The 22,817-nt window shown below is 42.4% G+C and overlaps 2 annotated features.

Annotated features, from left to right (window-relative positions):
* Positions 871-1,388: an enhancer, noted in NCBI's record as "H3K4me1 hESC enhancer chr12:128259103-128259620 (GRCh37/hg19 assembly coordinates)". NCBI's record gives its function as "activates a minimal SCP1, AML or CMV promoter by ChIP-STARR-seq in primed H9 embryonic stem cells {active_cell/tissue: H9 hESC(primed)}" and the evidence as "EXISTENCE:reporter gene assay evidence [ECO:0000049][PMID:30033119]".
* Positions 1,389-1,908: an enhancer, noted in NCBI's record as "H3K4me1 hESC enhancer chr12:128258583-128259102 (GRCh37/hg19 assembly coordinates)". NCBI's record gives its function as "activates a minimal SCP1, AML or CMV promoter by ChIP-STARR-seq in primed H9 embryonic stem cells {active_cell/tissue: H9 hESC(primed)}" and the evidence as "EXISTENCE:reporter gene assay evidence [ECO:0000049][PMID:30033119]".

Genomic DNA, 22,817 nt, shown 5'->3' with positions numbered 1-22,817 from the left:
CCTGATACAGTAAGTACATACCCAGTATTATATAAGCTAATGTTAGAAGCTTTTTTTTTTTTTTTTTTTTGAGACAGAGTCTTGCTCTGTTGCCCGGGCTGAAGTGCAGTGGTGTGATCTTGGCTCACTGCAACCTCTGCCTCCTTGGTTCAAGTGATCCTCCCACCTCACCTCCCAAGAGTAGCTGGGACTGCAGGTGTGTGCCACCAGGCCGGGCTAATTTTTGTACTTTTTTGTAGAGACAGAGTTTCACCATGTGGTGCAGGCTGGTCTTGAACTCCTGAGCTCAAGCGATCCACCTGTCTTGGCCTCCCAAAGTGTTGAGATTACAGGCATGATCCACTGGCCCAGCCTGCTTCATTGTTTTTAAATGGTGAAAATAAAAGATCTGTATACAATTTAGGGAGAACACTTGCTTCTTTTAAGGGGATTTTTGGAAACTTTGCTTGAGTACTATTTATACTAATATTTATATTGGCCTGCAAATGACTCTTTGAAGTTTTGAAAACTCCAATCCTAAAACAAGAATCTCACCTGTCAGGCAGTTCAAAACCATTAAAAATTGGGGGCTTGGTTTCTTATTACTATAAATAAGTTTATTTTTTATTATGGTTTTAATTTTTATCTGACCATATTACGAACGCTGGATGACCCATCTAATTGTATTATTCGAAAATCTCAAAGCAATTTGTAGGGAAAAGAAAATCAGTATAGTAGTTCATCAGCATTACAATAATAAATCAACATTGGATACTCTTGAGAAGCTGGCATTTAGAAAGAACAGAAGAATATGAAGGAGTGAGCCTGGATTTCTGAAGGGAGAGTGTTCCAGGCAGAGACCACATGGTACAAAGGCCTCTTGGTGTTGGCAAAGGGCAGAGGGAGTCAAAAGTATGAAGGGAGAAGCAGCCCACGCTCGTCCTCCAGGCCCTCCCCACGCTGGTAAGCCCCCAGTGCTCGGGAAAGGGCAGCCGATGGAGGCTGTTCCTGGATATTCTGTGAGTCAACAGGGGCCCTGCCAAGTGCCCCTCTCTGCTCTTGGGAGCTTTTCTTGAGGTTTATTAAGCAACTCCACATGATGCAATGCTTCCTTCCCAGGTGAATGTTATTTTAAAAGCTTCTTTCCTGCTTCATGTGGATAGAGATTTGCATTCACCCCTCCTCATATTAATTTTGCATTATGGGTGGGGGTGAGGAAGAGCATCATCCCTAAAGGGAGTGTCTTCAATCTGTCTATAATTCATCTCTCAGCCAGGGAGCAGCGTCCGTGTCACCTGAGGAGGCAGATGCTCCCCTGCCCTGGCGTGTGGAGGGAAGACGGCGCCAAGGCGGAGGCACGGGAGCATCTTTCATTCCTCCCCCCATGCTTGCTGCTTCATCAACATCAACGTCCTGCTGCCAGGGCTGATGAATGGCTCAGGAGCGTCACAACTCGGTGGCTCTTATGCCACGTGCGCTGGCAGCTGTCACCGCCGTCCTACCTGTGACCCACACGTGTCTTCCTGAAATGGCCGAAAACAAGCTTTCCCCTCAAATGTTGCTTTCTTCTCAGAGTCAATCAGCAATGCTAATCAAGTCTGTGTGCTTAGCTAGGATTTTGGACCTTCTTACGTGAAGGCGTCTGAAAGGAGGTCCCCTTTCCTGAAGGCTGACTGTTGCTTTGTCTCCAGTGAGTAACCCTGAGACTGTGCACAGTGAGCAAGAGGAAGGGGCAGGAGATGGAGGGTGGAGGTGGTGTGTGAGCTGGGGTCCATCACACACTCTTGGGATTCTTTATTTGCAAATTTTGTTCCCGGTGCAATGGATGTTGATGATGTTTAAGTGGAGGGGCAAAGTCTGATGTATTCTGTAGGAGGATTGCTCTGGTAGAGGCATGAGAGGATCTGGGGGCAATTGGGACTCTTGCAATTGTTCAGATAGGAGGGTAGATGGTGGTGTGGACCAGATGGGTGCTGATGGACATGGTGAGGTGTGGACCATCTACATCTATATTTAAGCTGCAACTAGTAGAATTTGGTAAAGAATTGAATGGGGGAAATTTTAAAGGCTGTCTAAGTTGGTAATTTGATGTAAAAGGAACAACTCATTCCTGTTAAACTACATGTCATGATTGGGGTTTGGATCACCAGACGTTGACGTTTGCTGCAGGCGATGGCCAGCTGGCCTGATTCTTGTGTCTGTGGGGTGTATTGGCTCCAGTCAGCCTGCAGGTGAGTGTCACAGAAACACAAATGAGCAGAGACCCGTGCTGCTCGAGAACGTTTTCAGTGTCCACTGGAGGGCTCTGTCTGCTTTGATGGGGACAGAACTCATTTGTATTCCCCAACAGGTGTTTAAAATCTGAACTCCCTCACATCATATTTCTAATATTTCAGTGCCCAGATAGGACAGAACCCCAAGCAGGACCTAATTGGCCTAGCTTTCTTGTTTCCCCCAATAATATATTTTTAGAACGGTTTTAGATTTATAGAAAAATTTAGAAGGTACCCATGCACTTGTTTGCCCCATTATTAACATCTTACATTAGCAAGGTACATTTGTTACAATTACTGAACAAATAGTGTTTATGTATTGATTTATTTTGAAGGCAGGATCTCACTTTGTGACCCAGGCTGGAGTGCAGTGGCGCAACCATAGCTCACTGCAGCCTTGACCTTTCTGGCTCAAGAGATCCTCCCACCTCAGCTCCCTGCATAGTTGATACCACAGGCCCACACCATCATGCCTAGCTAATTGTTATTTGTTTGTTTTTTGTAGAGATGGGGCCCCAGTATGTTGCCCAGGCTGGTCTTGAGCTTCTGGCCTCAAGCAATCCTCCCGCCTCAGCTTCCCAAAGTGCTGGGATTACAGGTGCGAGCCACCGTGCCCAGCCCAATTACTGAACTAGTGTTGATACATTATTATTAACTAAAGTGCAGACTTTATTCTGACTTCCTTACTTTTTGCTTAATGTCCTTCTCTTTCGGGGTCCAGGAGGCCACATTAATTTAGTCATCCTGTCTTCTTCAATTCCTCTTATCTATGAGTTTCTCAGACTTTGTTTTTGAAGACTTTGGAAGTTTTGAAGAGTGTTCCTCAAGTATTATATAGCTATCCCTCAATTGGGGCGTATCTGATATTTTGCCCTGGTTAGGCTGAGGCCATGAGCCAGCTGGCCCACTTCCCATCCTGCTGTGTTCCAGACCCAGATGTGCCATTCCACATCCTTTCTTACCATGAGGGCCCCGACTCAGACAAGCACTGCAGGGTACGGAGGATTGCATGATGGATATGCTACCCTGGAGAAGTTTCCTTCCTGGGGAAAATAGAAAATGCATGGATGAAATTACTAAATATGGATATGGGGCACTGTATCACTCTCCAAGTAATCTAACCTGTTCCCATGGCTTTAAATAGCATTTGTGCTGACAACCCCCGAATCCATATCTCTAGTTTTGCTACATACTAATGTAGAAAGTCATCGGCAGAGGAAGAGTGGGCTCTCTCCAGGGATGTCCTAAGAAGAAGTTTTCAAAGTAAACAGAGCACCTCTAAAGGCTTTGCTGCTGATGGATAAATATGGACTGTCCCCAGGGACAGGAGTCGTGTGATCAGAGAACCCATGAAGCAGACAGCGAGGAGGAAGGGAAGGGAGGCACATGGCAAGTTGTCTCCATGCATTAGCTTCTCATTGTCTGCATGTGCTTTGCAGACACTGATGTTTTTCTTCTTCCTTAATGTCAGTGAGTTGGGGTGTCTAATGATAAAGATTTGTGAAAATACACAGGTGGCGGTGTACTTTCCATTGTGGTGTTTGATCCATTCCTTCTCTCCTGCTCTTCTCCTCTTCCTCTTCCTCCTCTCTCTTCTCTCTCTCTCTTCCTGTCTCCCTCTTTCTCTCTCCCTCTCTCTCCCTTTTTCCCCACCTCTCTCTCCTCTGTCTCTAGTTCCTCTTCTCTCTTTCTCTCAAATCCTCCTTCCCTTCCCTCCTTGGTGGTGGGCACATTCCTTAAACAGTCTCCTCAGTCTTCTGTAGAAATAAACAAAGCAATAGACGTTTTTGGATTCACATCTCCCTCAGCTCCAAAGACATTATTTGGCTAAACTCCCAGATGATAATACAGACAGGGAAGTATTTGAGTTTTGCAGTCATTTCTCTGAGGTTGAAAGAATTGGAATATAGAGCTAGAATTGAGCTAAATGCTGCACGATGTTAAATAAGAATTAATAAGAGATTTTATTGGACCCTTAGGGAAATGTGGCAAATGTAATAGTTTTAATGGGTTTAATTAGAAGTTGGTACAGGAGATGCTTACAAGACGGGCACAGGCCAGTCAGAATATGGCCTGGTGGTGAGAAATGGAGAACACAGGTGAATTAAAAAGCAGTGCTCCATCTCTTTCTCAATGCATGGAAATGGACCCACTGTTTCCCTTCTCAGAGTGTCAGTCTCCTCATTTGTAAATGGAGATAAAAGCAGAGTATTCCGGCCAGGCAGGGTGGCTCACACCTCTAATTGCAGCACTTTGGGAGGTCGAGGCAGGCAGATCACGAGGTCTGGGGTTCAAGACCAGCCTGACCAACATGGTAAAACCCTGTCTCTACTAAAAATACAAAAATTATCCAGGAGTGATGGCGGGCGTCTATAATCCCAGCTACTCGGGAGGTTGAGGCAGGAGAATCGCTTGAACCCGGGAGGCGGAGGTTGCAGTGAGCCAAGATGGCACCATTACACTCCAGCCTGGGTGACAGAGCAAGACTCCATCTTGGAAAAAAAAAATAGAGTATTCCTCATAAGGTTGTTGCAATTGTTGAATGGGATAATGATCGTAAATGTCTTCGCATGTTGTCTGCTACATGGTAGACCTTAGATAAATTATTATTGTTATCACAACTGTTATTATTATTGACAAAGATCATATGGGTAAAATATGTCCCAAATCTGGGATTTTAACTTAGATTTCCATGTTCTCAGCCCATGATTTTTTTTTTTCTTTTGTATGGCTAAAAGGCAAACAAACAAAACTAGCATTCTTTGAGTTTTCCAATCATGCATGTTTAAACCTTCTTGTTTGTCTGAGGGCAAGAATCAATAAAAGTATAAATTAAGCAGATAATAAGAAAGCAAAACTGTCGGCGATCTCTGCCCTTTGTATGGAAAGTGCCCGATTTCAACCTTTGAAGGTCGGTGTCATTTCAGAGCGGCTAAAGGTGAGTCTCCAGGCAGTTTGCATCCGTCTGGCGTCTGTTAGAGCTGCTATTCATAGGTCGGCCAGTCCTCTGGGGTTAGGGAAGCTTTTCTAGGATGTGTTTCTCCAGGTAGCCCTTGATAACCATTTGGACCCAAGTAGATGATCCCTAATGTCCAGCATTGCCAGACAAGACTGGGAAAAATGGCTTCAGCTGATAAAAGCTGCTGTGTGAGCAGGTTGCAAGTGACTCTACTCATCATTGTGTATTGACGACTGGGACAGGATAGATGGAGCAAGTATGCCTTAGGGATGTGCAGGGCACTTCCAGGAAACTCTGTGAAAGAGAAAAGAGGTCGTTCCTGTAAAAATGTGATAAGAATAAGAGCGACATTATCAATTGCCCGTTATGTGTCAGGCACAGGGCTCTGATGATCAGAGGCTCGTTGGATGCCCTGATGCTCAATCTCTAACCACGCTCTTCCTGGCTGCCTTCCAGATGCCACTATCACATTCTAGCCAGGGAGAGAGAAGCGGAAGTCAGCCACGGGGTTGGGGAAAATACATTTGCTTTTCAAATACAGCATCTTCTCCTCTACTTTCCTCCTCATTTTAAAAAAATTTTATTTTTATTTTTATTTATTTTATTTATTTATTTATTTATTTTGAGACAGTCTTGCTCTGCTGCCCAGGCTGCATGCAGTGCAATGGCATGATCTCAGCTCACTGCAACCTCTTCCTCCCGGGTTCAAGCAATTATCTTGCTTCAGCCTCCCCAGTAGCTGGGACTCCAGGCATGCTCCACCGTGCCCTGCTAATTTTAAAATTTTTTATTTTTATTTTTATTTTTAGTAGAGACGAGGTTTCACTATGTTGCCCAGGATGCTCTCAAACTCCTGAGCTCAGGTAATCTGCCCACCTCAGCCTGCCAAAGTGCTAGAATTACAACCATGAGCCACTGTGCCCAGTCTCCTCCTCATTTTCTCCTTTGAACAAAGCTGTGATGGCTAGAGCTACTGCAGGCGTCTTGTGACTATGAGAAAGCAGCCCAGAAAAATCAAAGCCCTTGGCCCAGATAGCACCAAGCTTCTAAACCAATTGTCCAAATTGTCTACTCCTGGAATGTGTGTTATATTTTTAAAAATACCTTTATTTGTTTAAGCTAATGTGATCAGGTTTTCTGTCAGTTGCAGACAAAAACATCTGTATCAAATACAAAATGACATCTTAAATTACACTTATAATATTAAGTATAATATCTTTAAAAATGAGAAAAACAATTGAAGTTTATAATGGCAAGGAGCAAAGCTAGGACCTGAACCCATATAAGACACTATTCTTTACGTTATATTCTGTTGATGCTCTGAAAAAAATGTTCGTCTTTAACTCCTTACAATCTCAGTTTTCTTGGTACCTTATTTAAGAAATATGTAAATAAGAAAAGAGGAATTGCCCATCATCCCACCTCCCAGAAATAACCACTGAAAGTAAAAATTTTTAAATTATTTCCTTTATAACTTTCATCTGCAAAGTAAGGAACAGGTGAGTTTGTACTATGCACACACAGATACACACAGACACTGATTTTCCCTTTCAACTCAGTTGTGACAAATTCAGGGTACAGGGTACAGTATTGTTTATTCACAAATTCCATGAATTCTAGCTCTCTACTTACTAAAAGAAGAAGTCAGCTGTCCTCAAGGCATCTTCCTTTTTGTTTGTTTGTTAGTTTTCTGTAGAACCCCAAGTAGAAGGCTCCCTGGTACCTACACACCAACTTGCTAGCCCTTATTCACTGCCAGGTTCCGCCTCTAGATTCCCCTAGGTCTGATACCTGAACAGTCACACAGCAGAGCCCTGTCACTACCCCTGCTAACGGCCCATGGAGAGAACTGCAAATTCCACATCAATGGTGCTATCTCGTAACAATGTCAAAATCACCAGTCCTTGATGGGTTAGAGTCGTTATCAGCATTTTCTTCTTTAGGAATAATAATAATCCTCTCCTCAACTCTGCTCTTCACCTTATCTCTTGGGGTTCATGACAGCCTTCCCCATCCCAAATTCCTGCAATCTCTCCTCTGAAGTTGTCAGCAAATTTAATCCCATGCAGACTTTAATTCTGGGTCTTCTCCTGGCTCCTCAAGACATCCTCACATCAGAACCCCTTATAAATTCCCAGAAGTCTCATAAATAAATGAAAGCCTCCCCTCTGAATCTGGTTAGCACTTTAATATTTACTGAATATATTTTCCCAAATTAGTTTCTCTATTGGCTGGTTGCTTCCATGAGAGTGAAAGGACTTCCTAAAGAAAATGGATTTGTGTATATATGAAAAGCAGTAGAAGGACTATATGGTTTCAGTGAATTTCTTTGGAACTTGTTATGATTTTGTCTTGCTGATGTCCTTTTGCTCTGGTTACTGGGAAAGAGAGCTGTGTTTCTGAGTAGTGCTTGATGATGGAAGAAAGGGGGCAGGTCCTTGTGGGACACCATCCTGCAATTTCTCTCTTGTGAAGTGGTGCATGGTAACCTACAGATGACTCTCAAGTGTCTGCACTTGGTGGGGGGAGAACCTACCTTATGTGTAACCATATCAGATTAGATCAAACACAGTGGTTGTTAAGAGTCCCATCAAGCAAGACGACAGTGAAAACTACACAGCAAGGACTGACATAACTTTCCAAGAGTGAGCTGAGGGACGCTGTATGGGACCGTGTCTTTATATCTAGAAAAGGAAAAGAAAACCCCATTCATTTCTGTTGATGGATTTGGTCACGTACAAAAGGCAAGGGCACAATTTAAAAGAACAAGATGTCTTTTGTAAAACAACAGCTGGAAACACTTTGCAGCAGCTGCCAGTATAAATAATTCACTGTTAATTGATTCTGAGGCCACTCCTGAAACTGGCAAGCCAAGTTGCATGACAGGAAGGTGCACCATGGAAAGTGATAATGACATGGATATTTATTCTCATTCACCCTTGCATGGGATAAGGAAGAGGCCAGCCACACTCCATTGGATTCATTTGTGAGTCAGCCCTAGAAGCATCTTTAAAGCAGCAGTCCTTGTTGTGCCCTTCAGTTCCTGGATGAAGATGGAGATGCTAGTGTTAACAGTGACTTATTTCTTTTATATTTCCCTTTCACTGAAAGTTTCTGCATTGACATCCACTTGCCACTGGAGTGTTCAGGGGATATTATGAGATTAGCAGCATAAGAGGGTGGCTGAAGTAGCATTTGACCTCTGGCTTCAAACCCATATGGGGGCTCCCATGTGAACATGCATCTTTATCTCAAAATCAGTCCTTTTACCTGAGTGTGCAATTGGTGTTTTAATAGTAAGCATTAAAATACAAATTTATGTATGCTTGCTTTATTTTTCCATATAAAAATAGAAATAAAGTATGCATGGACATAGATAATTCTCAACCTCTGAAAAGCCTGTGTTCTCTGGGGCTTATTAACCCACACCACCCATTTCTCCCACAATAGGTTTGCTGAGCTTAATGGACAGACTTTTGTAGATTTACTCTTCACTGGCCTTACCACAAGGTTAAGGAATTAACTAATTATATGACCAACTTTTTGCTTAATCCCTCTCTGTGTTTCCTGATTGTAAGCTCAATGAAGGTAAGACAGGACCTTTGTTTGTTTCATAATAACCCGTTGAGAAAGAAGAAAAGTTGCCCCTGATTCTGAGATAGGCTAGGCCTTGCTGTCCTCTTATAAAATAGGAATAATTTTCACAGAATATTGATATCACAGAAGCCCTCTTTGTGACCATGATGGATTAAGACAACGGTGAGATCATCCCACAATCTTGTCTGAACACAGGCAAGACAAAAACATTTGCCAAAATACAAAATTCCAAACATTTTCTTGCCCCAGGTAATATGAGTGACTGAAGCTTAAATTCTTGCTTCTGATGGGTGAAAAAAAAAAAAGAATGACTAAGAACTACTATTTGATAGCACAACAGAGTGACTATAGTCAATTATAACTGAATTGCACATTTAAAAATTACTAAAAGAGTATAATTGAATTGTTTGTAACACAAAGGACAAATGCTTGGGGGGATGGATACCCCATTCTCCATGATGTGATTATCTCACATTGCATGCCTGTATCAAAACATCTCATGTACCTCATAAACATATACACCTACTATGTATCCACAATTTTTTTTAAATCCCTGCTTCTTTGAACCCTCCCAAATCACCCAGTGCTTGTCTCTGAATCCTATACTAAGCTCTTTCTAACACCCTTTGAATAAGAAAGCCCCTCAGTTCCCCATGCTGTGCTAAGAGAAATCAACGCAGCCTGTTGAACTTCAGGTGTCTTCTTCCGGCTTTGGCCGGAGGGCATTGACAGCAGGATGCAGCATTGGGTCTCGATTGGCAAATGTTTGAACATGGATTCATGAGGCCAAAGAATAATTATATTTTCTGCAATCAGGTCCTTGGAATAAGTGAAAACAGAAAAGCAAATTAATAAGAAAAGATCATACACAATATATAGCTTAAATGAATTAACATTTTCCTACAATACCGTTGCAATTTTAAAGTAAATGATAAGTAAATTCTAATTAATGAAAATTTCAGTTCCCTACAGTTTCCTGAACTAAAATTCCAGCTTTGTAACTGGTTGAAGGACAGGATTCTTGTAGCCAAAGGATGCTTTGAAGGGAGCATTCCTTATGCCTCCGGGCTCAGCTGTTTCCTCCACTTTCTCCTCCTCCAGGCAGCCCTCCCTGACCACTGCAGATTGCCCTGGCCCTTATTTCTTCTCACCTGCATGTGTTAACCCTACGGATGAGCTTCGGGGCCTCCAGGGCCTTCACAGGGAATGGAAAAGAAATGGAACAAGTGTCTCTCAGGGTGGGCCAATCCTTGTCCTGCAGAAACACAGGGTCTCTATTGTCAGGTCTCTGATTGTTCTAGAGAAGCCAGACATCTCTGTTTTAATTTGAAGTATCCTTAGTTTTAGGATGTTTTTATTTTTGTTTGAATCCTATATGAGCCCACCAAAGTTGTTTCTTGATGCCAACTAGTCTTTGGGCCACCATGTCATCAGGCCTGACTTAGTCTACAAGTGTCCTGAGCTTCTTTCTGTTTCCTCACTTTTGCCTTTATTTCCTGTCTCTACTTCCCTTCCACTTCTATCCATGACAAGGTATAGAAAGGTCCTGTGTGCTAATAAAAAAGTAAACTGGGCTGGGCACATCTGGAATCCCAGCACTTTGGGAGGCCGAGACAGGTGGATCACCTGAGATCAGGAGTTCAAGACCAGCCTGGCCAACATGGCAAAACCCCGTCTCTACTAAAACTACAAAAATTAGCCGGGTGTGGTGGTGGGCACCTGTAATGCCAGCTACTCTGGAGGCTGAGGCAGGAAAATTGCTTGAACCCAGGATGTGGAGGTTGCAGTGAGCCGAGATGGTGCCACTGCACTCCAGCCTGGGTGACAGAGCAAGACTCCATCTCAAAACAAAAAACAAAAAAAAGTACATTGACTCAATGAAGTGGTGATGGAAACCTTGCAAACAGGCTGCCCCCAGGATCCACTGAACCCACCAACATATTATATTAGCCACACCCTCGCTATACTCCCTCCCTTTAAGCAGAGGTGCAGAGGTGTAGTTGTTGTTTGAGGATTCATCTTTATTTATTTAATTCATGCATTATCCAACATATATTTGTCAAGTGCTGTATTGCCAAGTGTTCTTCTAGGCACTGAGTTTCAATACATATATTAAATATATATAAAATATGTATTATGCATATTATATTTATAATATATCATATAGTAATATAAATATATATTATATTATGTAATATATATTAAAACATATATATGGATAATTATATATGTATAAAATAACAGACAAAAATCCCTGCCTTTATGGAGCTTGCAATTTTGAATGGGAGAGACAGCAAATAAGATAATTAAGTATGTCCTATGTCAGGTGATGGCAAGTGCTAAGAAGAAAAACCAAAACAAGGAAGAACAACAATGCAGGAGAGAACAGATGCAATCTTTAAAAGAATGGCCAAGGAAAATCTCACTGAGAAACTCACACTTCAGTGAAGATCTGAAGAAGGTGAGGGATTCAGTGACATGGTTCTCTGGGAACAGCACGTGCAAAGGTCCTGAGGCTGAAACCTACCTGGTATCTCCCAAGCTCAGCTCAGAGGCCAGCTTGGCTGGAGCACAGGAAACAGGAGCAGAGATCTAAAAAGAATGGAGGAAGGTCTGGGCAGCAGGGAAGGGAAGTGAGATCATTCATGGGCATAAGAACTTTGGCCTTTACTCTGAGAGAGTTGTGAGGCCCCTGGAAGGGGAACCAGGCTGACGATTCTGGAGTCTGAGCTACATTGCAACAGGACAGCCTCCCTCTCCTGGCTCTAACACTCACAAGGGTGTAATGGGCCCTTCATGGTCCCATCTGCACTCTTGGTTGTCCTGGGCCAGGCCTGCATTGCTCATGTCTATTACCTGCCTGGTCAGTGAAGGCTTTGGGTTTTGCAATCCCAGGGTCAATGGAAAAGAGTAGACATACAAGAGGCAAAGACATCTGGGAGTGAAGGCATCTTGCATTGCTTCTAGGTTGCTGTTTCAAAAAGCCCTCCTCATTCATACGCTTTTCAACTCACGAGAAATTAGCTCTCTGCTGGAATTTCAATGTCCTAACTTTTTTTTTCAAATTTACTTAATTATTATTTAATGTGACAGATAAACTCATAAAAGGAAATACAAAAGAAATGAAACAAAAGCGATGAGCAAAAGGTAAGCATTTTTGTTTGTTGGCTTTGGACTTCGGCCCTGAAATTTTTGACCCACAAGATATGAAACAAACAAGTAACAGTCCCATCACTCTTTAGAAATGTCCTGGCTCCACTAGTAGTACTAAGGTGAAGACATACCGATAACATTTTACAGATCAGTAAAGGCCAAGTGTCAGAAGTCAGCACCTTTGTCCTCCGGTACTGACCTTGTCTTTGCACCCGTCTTCCATGACTGTGTTCATTAGAGTAGAACAGAGCTGCAGCCAGTGCAGATTAGGACGGTCTTTCTGTGTGCTGAGCACTGCACTTGGAGTCTCTTTCCTCATAAATGGTGTCATTAGTGGGACTCCATTAGTGGGACTGATTTGTACTGGCTGCTCTGGGGTCATGATTTTGACCTCTTCCCATCTCAAATTCTCCAGTGCTGTGGTGCAAGTAATGCGGCCAGACTGGATCCCCATCACTGTACATTGTTTTCTGGCTTTTTATTGCCTTCTTACTACTGAGATTGACAAAAGCAACTTCTTGCTGTATGTGCTCCATCTACACTGCTTTCTTCTGACCTTCAAGTGTGCCTGCTCGTTTCTGCCTTAAAAGCCCTTTACATGCATGAAGCGTGGCTTTAAAGTACTATAGAAGTGTGTAAAACAATCAGATCACGACTGCTGACTCTAGGCTTATGCATGCTAGGTAAAGTGTGCGTTGATATGACGGCATCAGCTCATCGAATTAAGGTGCGCAAATCGTCCCAGTTTGTCCCTAACTGTCTCCGTTTAAGCACGGAAGGTCCCAAGTCCCAGGAACCCACTGAGTTTAAGTAAACTAGGACAGGTGAACGCCCCACATTTAATGCGTACCACTACCTTAGCAGGTGGGGCCAGTACTAGCGCATTTTACAGATGAGGCCTCTGAGGTTTAGAGAAGTTAAATGCTTTACCTAAATACCCCCACTCCCACTCCCACCCCAGGGTTCGAGAGTGAGAGCCTGGTCTTAAAGTCCTTACACAATTGTTCTGGAATCAGCCTCAGTACAGGTGTTTTTAAAAGGTGTTCCAGATGTCTCCTGAAACGTGCAACCAATTGAGGGCCATTGCTGTCAAGTTGAAAGAACTGGGCTCAAGTCAATCTGCCTTCATCTGCATCCTGGATAAGCCTCTTATTGACCATGGAGCACTGGGCAAGTTGTTTAACAGGCCTGGCCTCAGTTTCCTGGTCTGTAAAGGAGGGATCAGCATAGCACCTACCTCACAGGGCAGTTCAGGGAATTAAATACTTTGACAATTGTAAAGTCCTGAGAGGGGCGCTTGGCAAAGAATAAGTAGTATGTGAGATTTGTTATTAGCTATTACAGGATAATAATTTTCAAAATGAAAAAATGTAATGTAATATAAAGATTCAAATCATATAGGACCTGTATTATTTATTTTCAAACAAAATGTTATTAAAGTTTAAAATATTGTCACTGACTCAAACAACATTTTCTCCCTTGGCACTTTGGACAGGATGTTCAGACTGCCTTGAAGAAATTGAAGTTTGCAGCTTGGGCTGCTGCTCTCATTCATTTTAATACAGACACGACTAACATCTCATCCAAAATGTGAAACATAGCTTTTAATTTAGTACCATGGGTTCCTGCAGGACTGAGTCGACACACTGGGAAATATGTCAATTAAGCTTGTTTCCCAGGAAGAAACAGGGAGGTCTTGCAAACAACCCAGGATAGAAGGAGCCCAGGTTTTGAAGGTGAGCCAAGGACAACGGTGCTTAACGAGAGAGGCAGGGGGTGGGGCAGGTGCTGCCTGGGTTTCTAACCACGTGTTCTTGCTCACAGGTGGTGAATAATCTCAGAAAGGCAGGGGACAAGATGAGAGGGGGCCCCTGGTTTGGGAAGTGTTTGGTATCATCCCCCAACCCCCCAAGTTGTACGGAGCACTGCATGCCCCAGCTCCTGCAAATGGGAAGTGACATTCTGCAGCCGTGGGTTGATACCATGGAGACGGGGCCGCTTCTTTTCTGTGGTCCTTCCTGCATATTACATAACAGTGCGATGGCTTGCATTCACCCCACGCTTTGGGGAGATTCCGTTTAATTTCTTCAGCAGTGAAAATTTAGGTATCTGTATAGTTTTTCTGAGCAGAGTTCTCCCTCAAACGTATTTAAAAGGGGACCAGCAGATAACTCAATGAATTGATTAAATTTTAAAATTGTTATTTTGAGAGAGACTAGCTCAGCTATTAACGTTTCTGCTTGTTGTTGTTTGTACTTTTGGTTTTTCTTCCTTTTTTTTTTTTTTTTTTTTGTTTCTTGTTTTTTGTCTTCTCCAGGGGGTGTTCCCTACATGCCAGAGCTAAGCACAGGGTTGGAGGCTAGGGAATGGAAAAGCTTCCCAATTCAGGCATTTCTGGAAGCAGTTGTGGCTATTTCAGGGGGAGCTACAAACACAAGGCAAAGAGTCTTTTGATCCCACACTTCTGTGTGAGCTTCGGAGAGACAATCTTCCGGATCTGGTGGTGACTTTTAAAAAAAGCGTCTCTGGAATCCATCCCCAGGCAGGCAGAATTCGGTCTGAAGATGCTCCCCAAGAGCACCTCAAAGAGCACCAGCAGGCCTTCCTCGGCAGGGACCTCCTTTATCCATGAGCGTTCTCTTCCCAGCCTCATGTCCCACGGGTCCCTCCACTCTCTCCCTGAAGTCAGATGGCGCTGGGGTTTCCCTGCGGGAACCACCCGCACATTCGTGAGTGGAGAGAGTGCCAGCCGGGAGTCAGGCTCACTTGACTGAAGCTCCGCTTCCCTCGCTCCCCACCCACCCCTTCCGCGGCTCAGCCTGGATCCCGCTGCTCGATTCTCCAAGTGCCGCGTTCATGCTGGAAGCCAGCGTTCCCCACAGTGTCTTCTGTGAAGACAAATCCTGGGAGACGTTGGCGTTCCGGGAGAAGAAATCGATTCCTCAAAAATAAGCAAATTTTTAATTTAAGGTGATGTTTCAAGGAGACGTCGATATATTAACGTGCTTTGCGAGTGTTTAAGAGGAAGGGGTGAAGGGCAGGGTTCTCCAAAGTTGTTGGCTACCTGGAGACCGTCTCGAGGAGTTGGACTAGAACTTGGTACTCACGATGATAAGCAGTGACAGGCCAGGCGCGGTGGCTCACGCCTGTAATCCCAGCATTTTGGGAGGCCGAGGCAGGTAGATCACTTGATGTCAGGAGTTGGAGACCAGCCTGGCCAACGTGGTGAAACTCTGTCTCTATTAAAAATACAAAAATTAGCCGGGAGTGGTGGCGCACACCTGCAACCCCAGCTGCTCCGGAGGCTGAGGCATGAGAGTAGTTTGAACCCGGGAGGCAGAGATCGCAGTGAGTCCAAATCGCGCCACTGCACTCTGGCCTGGGCGACAGTGAGACTCCATCTCAAATAAATAAATAAATAAAATAAGTAAATAAATAAATAAATAAATAAACAAACAAACAATGACAACATTCCATGCTCCAGGAACTGGTCTCGGTGCGGTACTGAAGATTGATTCAACGGTGAGAACGTCAAGCACGTACTAGTCTCCACGGGCTTACACTGTGGAGGAAAAAATATAAACAAACAAACAAAAATAGCTATATTATACAGCAGGAAGTGAGAAGTGACTAGAAGAAAAGTCAACCCAGATAAGAAAAGGAAACAATTATAATAGAACTTGAATATTTTATATCTTTTCTTTTTACACATTTTGACATTTATTATGAAAATGTTGCAAGTTGAGATAAAATTATAACAAATCCCCATATGCTAATTACTTTTTAAATTATCTTGTTTAATCTATAGACGCACCATTCGTTTCCTGGTGTATTTTAAAACAAATTACAGACACCATTCTATTTTAAATAATAAATGGTTTAGCATATAAATCTAACAAATAATGACTTTTTGACACAATTGCAGTGGAATTATGGCCTCTAAAACATTAACGATAATTACTTAATAGTACAGGTTGATTCCTTGTCTGAAATGTTCGGGATCAGAATTGTTTCAGATTTCAGATTTGTGGGGATTTTAGAATATTTGCGTATACATAATGAGATATCTTGGGGGCGAGACCTAAGTCTAAACACGAAATTTATTTGTCCTTCATATGCACCTTATATGCATAGCCTGAAGATAATTATGTATTTTCACTAATTTTGTGCATGAAACAAAGGTTGTGGACACGAGGTCGCGTATGAATTTCTTTACTTGTGGTATCATGTAGGTACTCAAAATTTTACAAATTTGGAGCATTTTGGACTTGATTTTTGGATTAGGGATGCTCAACTTGCATCTAATACTCGGCTAGTATTATTTTAATAATTTGCTAATCACCTCAAAATGTCTTTTATTATAGCCAGTGTGTTAGAGTGCAAAAAAATAAGTATTCACATTGCATTTAGTTGATAAATCTCTTACGTCTTACTTGGAAGGCATTTCCCTCCCCGCTGCCACCGAACCATCGTTTCTTCAATGAAAAGGCAGATTTGTTTTTCCTGTGTTTTTTTCTCCCATTGTGATTGGCTGCCTGCATGCTAGAACTTTTATGTAACATGTTCATCTCTGTACCATATATCTTCTGTCAATTGGTAGATAGACCTACAGCCTTCATTAAATTTGGCTTCATTCTTTAGGCAAAATTAATTCATTGACTGTGTTTGAACTTCTTGTTGCACTGTATCTGGAGGCAGGTATTATGGTTGGCCAGCACGGTCCCATGGTGCCAATCTCAATCCTCTTTCAAAAAATTGCCTCAGCATACTTTGCTGCTCCTGATCTAGGAGCTACTGGTCTAGGAGCAATTTTATTCAGGCTTTCGGAGTTATGATTTTCAATTTCTACTATTTCTTCTGCATAATTAGCCAGAATCTTTCTATGCAGAAGAAACCCTTCTAAAGATTACAGCACTTTGGGAGGCCGAGACGGGCAGATCACGAGGTCAGGATATCGAGACCATCCTGGCTAACACAGTGAAACCCTGTCTCTACTAAAAAAAAAAAAAAAAAAAAAAAATTAGCTGGGCATGGTGGCAGGTGCCTGTAGTCCCACCTACTTGGGAGGCTGAGGCAGGAAAATGGCGTGAACCCGGGAGGCAGAGCTTGCAGTGAGCCAGGATCGCACCACTGCACTCCAGCCTGGGCAACAGAGCAAGACTCAGTCTCAAAATAAATAAATAAATAAATAAATAAATAAATAAATAAATAAAGATGGTTTTTGTTTGTTTTTTAAAGATCAAGTGTGTAAACATAAAGAGGCTGTGAATGGTTAGGAACACAGGCTTTGTGGCCAGACATACCTGGGATTGAATATTGGCTCTATCAGTTTTCTTCCCCAGTCCAGGCAATTCTCAACTGTGTCCAAGGAAAAACTCACATACCTTCTGGAAACTGTTAGTCTTCTATAAGATCGAACTTAGATGTCTCGTGTCTTTTACCTAATGGTTTATGTGTACATCTTTCCATAACCAACACACAGAGATTGACCTTGATTTTTTTTTTTTTTTTTTAATTTTACTTTAAGCTCTGGGATACATGTGCAGAACGTGCAGGTTTGTTATATAGGTAAACATATGCCATGGTGGTCTGCTGCACCTATGAACCTGTCATGCAGGTTTTAAGCCCTGCATGCATTAGGTATTTGTCCTAATGCTCTCCCTCCCCTTACCCCCCAACCCCCAGAGAGGCCCCATTGTGTGATGTTCCCCTCTCTGTGTCCATGTGCTCTCATTGTTCAACCCCACTTATGAGTGAGAACATGCAGTGTTTGGTTTTCTGTTTCTGTGTTGGTTTGCTGAGAATGATGGCTTCCAGTTTCATCCATGTCCCTGCAAAGGACATGCACTCATTCTTTTTTATGGCTGCATAGTGTTCCATGATGTATATGTGCCATATTTTCTTTATCCAGTCTATCATTGATGAGCATTTGGGTTGGTTCCAAGTCTTTGCTATTGTAAATAGTGCTGCTATAAACATATGTGTGCATGTGTCTTTATAGTGGAATGATTTATAATCCTTTGGGTGTATAGCCAGTAATGGGATTGCTGGGTCAAATGGTATTTCTGGTTCTAGATCCTTGAGGAATCACCGCACTGTCTTCCACAATGATTGAACTAACTTATACTCCCACCAACAGTGTAAAAGCATTTATATTTCTCCACAGTCTTGCCAGCATCTGTTGTTTCCTGACTTTTTAATAATTGCCATTCTCACTGGTATGAGATGTTATCTCATTATGGTTTTGATTTGCATTTCTCTAATGACCAGTAATGATGAGCTTTTTTCCATGTGTTTGTTGGCCACATAAATGTCTTCTTTTGAGAAATGTCTGTTCATATCCATTGCCCACTTTTTGATGGGGTTGTTTGTTTTTTTCTTGTAAATTTGTTTAAGTTCCTTGTAGATTCTGGATATTAGACCTTTATCAATGGGTGGATTGCAAAAATTTATAAAAGGATTACAAAAAAATCACACACGTAGCAACATTTAAGAAATGAGCTGTTATCACTGTTTGATTCCCCGGTTCTCTGCTCTGCCCCAGATGCCCTCAGCGTATTTTTAGGCGAGTTTTCTCCTCCTCCACCCTGACATAGGCTTATCTCTCTTAAGTCTTTGTATCTCTGTTCTTCCTTCCATCTTCCTTCTGACCCAGCCTCAGTCTCAAGGATCAGTGGAGCATCTCCCTAGAAAGGCACCTCTTCCTTACCTCATTCATCTCCCCAGTGCTACTAACTCCTCACAGCATGGTGCCTCTAGGTCCTATCTCCTCAACTGGAATACAGGCTGTGACTCCTTTATTTTAGCATCCTCCAAGGGCATCTAACATAGGTTAGGGTACAAAGTAAGGCTTAAAAATTCTGGCTAATCATATAACTGATTGATTATCCACTTGACAAATTTACTTTAATTGATTTCCTTCCTGAGAATGTTGCAGATATTGGAAAATCCACCTATTTTACTTTGTAGGCCATAAGTTGAAAATTACAGGGATAAACAAGTCATTCAGGAGTATGTGAACCCTGAAAGTTTGAGACAGGTCTCAGTTAATTTAGAAAGTTTATTTTGCCAAGTTTGAGGACATACACCCATGACACAGTCTCAGGAGGTCCTGGCAACATGTCACCAAGGTGGTCAGAGCACAGTTTGGCTTTATACATTTTAGGGAGACATGAGACATCAATTAACATGTGTAAGATGAATATTGGTTTGGTATGGAAAGGCAGGAGAACTGAAAGTGGGGAAGGGGCTTCCAGGTCATAGGTAGATAAGGGACAAATTGTTACATTCTTTTGAGTTTCTGATGAGCCTCTCCAAAGGAGGCAATCAGACATGCATTTATCTCAGTGAGCAGATGGGTGACTTTGAATTGAATGGGAGGCAGGTTTGCCCTAAGCAGTTCCCAGCTTGACTTCCATTAGCTTAGTGATTTTGGGGACACAAAATATTTTCCTTTCATAAGTAGTTGTTATTGTTGCTGCTACTGCTAGTGTGTTTTGTTTGATATAAGACAGTGTATTAGTCCATTTTCATGCTGCTGATAAAGACATACCTGAGACTGGGCAATTTACAAAAGAAAGAGGTTTATTGGACTTACAGTTCCACGTGGCAGGGGAGGCCTCACAATCATGGCGGAAGGTGAAAGGCACATCTCACATGGCAGCAGGCAAGAGAAGAGAGAACTTGTGCAGGGAAACTCTCCCTTATAAACCCATCAGATCTTGTAAGACTTACTCACTATCTACCAGAACAGCACAGGAAAGACCTACCCCCATGATTCAATGACCTCCCACTGGGTTCCTCCCACAATATGTGGGAATTCCAGGTGAGATTGGGGTGGGGACACAGCCAAACCATATTGGATAGTTTATATATAATTTGTACATCTATGTATGATGCCTAAGGCCTTTTGGAACTCATCTATAGAGATTTCATGACCAGGAAAAGAGATGCTCTGATGTTTACATGTAATCAGAATTTCCCTGTAAAAACCATTGCCTGAAGCCCCAGCACTAATTTGGCTGTGTCTGTGATTGGGACACATCTCCTAAAGCTAAAGCAATTTTATTTTTCATGTTTAAAAAACCATTTGGTGGCAGTTTTGTTTCCACATGGGTGCCTCTGGATGTCCCATTTTTTTTTTCAGAGGCTGGGTTCGGCACCAGAGGCCTGGTTTGTCTCTCAGATGCTGCCATTTTTCCTCATTTTCTTGGGAATAAGCACAGTACGTTGGCACTTTTTAGCAATGAGCATTATTACCTAATATATCAACATCGAAAGCAGGACTGAAACGGATTTGGTAGAACGGGGATCGTTAGGGAAACAGAAAGATAAACATTGATATTTCCCAATTAAGGTTGTCAGTCTTGTCTGAAGTACCTTGTAGAGTTTCAAGACTATGCCCAGCTCCTTGTTTTTACAAATTGTTTTTTCCAAAGATGAACAAATAACTCTGAGTTAGGGAACTCACAAAGCTGATGACATTGAATTCTAGAGAGCTGGTTATACACACTGTGGCCTCGTTTTTTCCTTCTTTCTTTCCTTTCTTCTCTATTTTCCTTTTCCTTTACTTTTAATCTTTGCCCTGCTTCAGTTGTCTCTGAATACAGCAACCAGATTAATGTTATTAAAATACAGATCAGTCATCTTACTCATCCGTTCAAAATCCCACAGTGACTATAATTTTACTGGGAGCAAAAGACAAAGTTTTTATAATGACCTGCAAGTCTGGAAGACCTGCCTTGGAACACCTGTCCATTACCTCTCTGAGCTCAACTCTTACCAGCCGTCCCATAGTCTCTGAGCTGCAGCCATGCTAGCCCTGCTGGTCCCCAAACTCTGAAGCTGCACCCCTGCCCCAGGGTTGCACATACCACTCCCTCTGCCTGGATCCCCAGAAAGCCTCATGGCCCCTCACAGCCTTCAGATCTTTGTTTAAATGCCACTTTTTAATGAAGTCTTCCCTGACCCAGCCTTGGTAGAATAGCAACTCTTCTCTCTTTCTCTTTATCACATTTCACCTTTCTTTTTCTTTAAAATAAGCATTGCCTCTGTGCATGTAATATATTTACTTGCTTATTGGGATTTTATAGTTACTAAGAGACACATTCCCTGAAGGCGGAGGACTTCTTTACTTTGCCGCTCCCAGTGCCTACAACAGTTGCTGGGCACAGGAGAAAAACTCAAACTGTAGAATAAATAAAATAATGAAAAAGAGTTTCTCAACGAAAAGGACCTTATCTTCGACCTCTGAGATCCTGGGAGGTATTGTTTAGGGAGATTAAGTAACTCTCAGGGAAGTTTTCTGATGCGTTGGCTTGTTGGGACCAGACATGAGCTGCACAGAAAAGAGTGTTTTTATAATTGCTACATGTATCAACTAGTCCTCTTCTGTTGAATCTAACAGAAGCAAACTGTGGCTCCCTTCAACAACTACAAAAAAAAAAATATTAAAGTGATATAAATGCTTAGAGATTGATGGGAAAACCCAGACATGCTCAAAAAGCACAGGGTACAAGGGGATTTGGGAAAAACAGTTTGCAGGAATTAATTAATTAAATTGTCAAGGTGATACAGCTGGAAAAATCAACTATCATCATTTTTAATTTTTGTACCATTCTGCTTGTGAATAAAATTCCAGGAGAAGTTTACTTGCTTAGCCAGAGTGACACCTGTGCCACTTGTGTGGGCAGTAAGTTATCTATGTCGATGGCCCCATCGAGACTTGACACAATGGGGGAAGATAACACCCTAGAGCAAAACAAAGATTCTGGCTGGGAACAGTGGCTCCTGCCTGTAATCCCAGTACTTCGGGAGGCCAAGGCACGAGGATCACTTGAGGCCAGGAGTTCAAGACCAGCCTGGTCGATATGGTGAAATCTCGTCTCTACTAAAAATACAAAAATTAGCCCAGTGTGATGGCGCATGCATGTAGTCCCAACTACTTGGGAGGCTAAGGCAGGAGAATCACTTGAACCGGGACGAGGAGGTTGCAGTGAGCCGAGATTGTACCACTGCACTGCAACCTGGGTGACAGTGAGACTCCATCTCAAAAACAAACGTTTTGCTCTCTCCCAAAAATAATAAATCGCCGTGATATTAACATTTTTTTGAGAACCGAGTCCATTACAATGTCCTGTTCGGGTGGTAAGCAGTGTTGAGAGTGGGCATATTTTTGTTCCTATATTTAATAATACTCAGAACAAACACTATCTGCTTGCTCCAGAGAATACTGGACCCTGCAATTAAAGCTGTAAACAACTAAAATTGCTTAATTAACATGATTTATGCTTTTCTCATCAAAATTCTATTTGAGACCTTTGCCTCCCTGTGTCCACAACTAATCCCAATTAGCTTCCTGCCTTGCAAGACCTATCTTAAAAATGACCCAGCCCAGGCCATAAAACGCCATAAAAATACTCCCCTGACTTTTTCTGTCTGCACCAATAAAACAGTATCAAAGTGGTGATCACTCACATTAGAAGATATAATATTGGATAGGATATAGTGGGTATGTAATGTGCATAATGGTGATTAACTTGCTTGGTGAATTCACAGGTTTTTCTAATGGTCACTTTATGAAGTTCACTTCCCACACAAAAGCTCAAAGGTGCTGAAAAAGAAAGCAAAGGTCAGTATGTCTAATGTAAAGGCATCTCTTCACCTGTTTTATCAAAGTGCCAAGGAATGATTCTGCAGTGTGTTCAACGCTTATCTTAGACCAGTCTCTGAATGACAGCTATGAACACCATAGCAACCCTTCCTTGCCAGTTTTAAAATACATGGTGTGGGCTCCTTTTCTCTGAGTAGGTTCTGGAAAGATGAATTAAGGGATTCACCATGCAAAAATGTAGACT

This window comes from Homo sapiens, chromosome 12 (assembly GCF_000001405.40).
Source record: "Homo sapiens chromosome 12, GRCh38.p14 Primary Assembly".
NCBI classification, from domain to species: Eukaryota; Metazoa; Chordata; class Mammalia; order Primates; family Hominidae; genus Homo; species Homo sapiens.
Note: the sequence above shows the minus strand (reverse complement) of the source record. Positions and strands in the feature narration are given on the sequence as shown.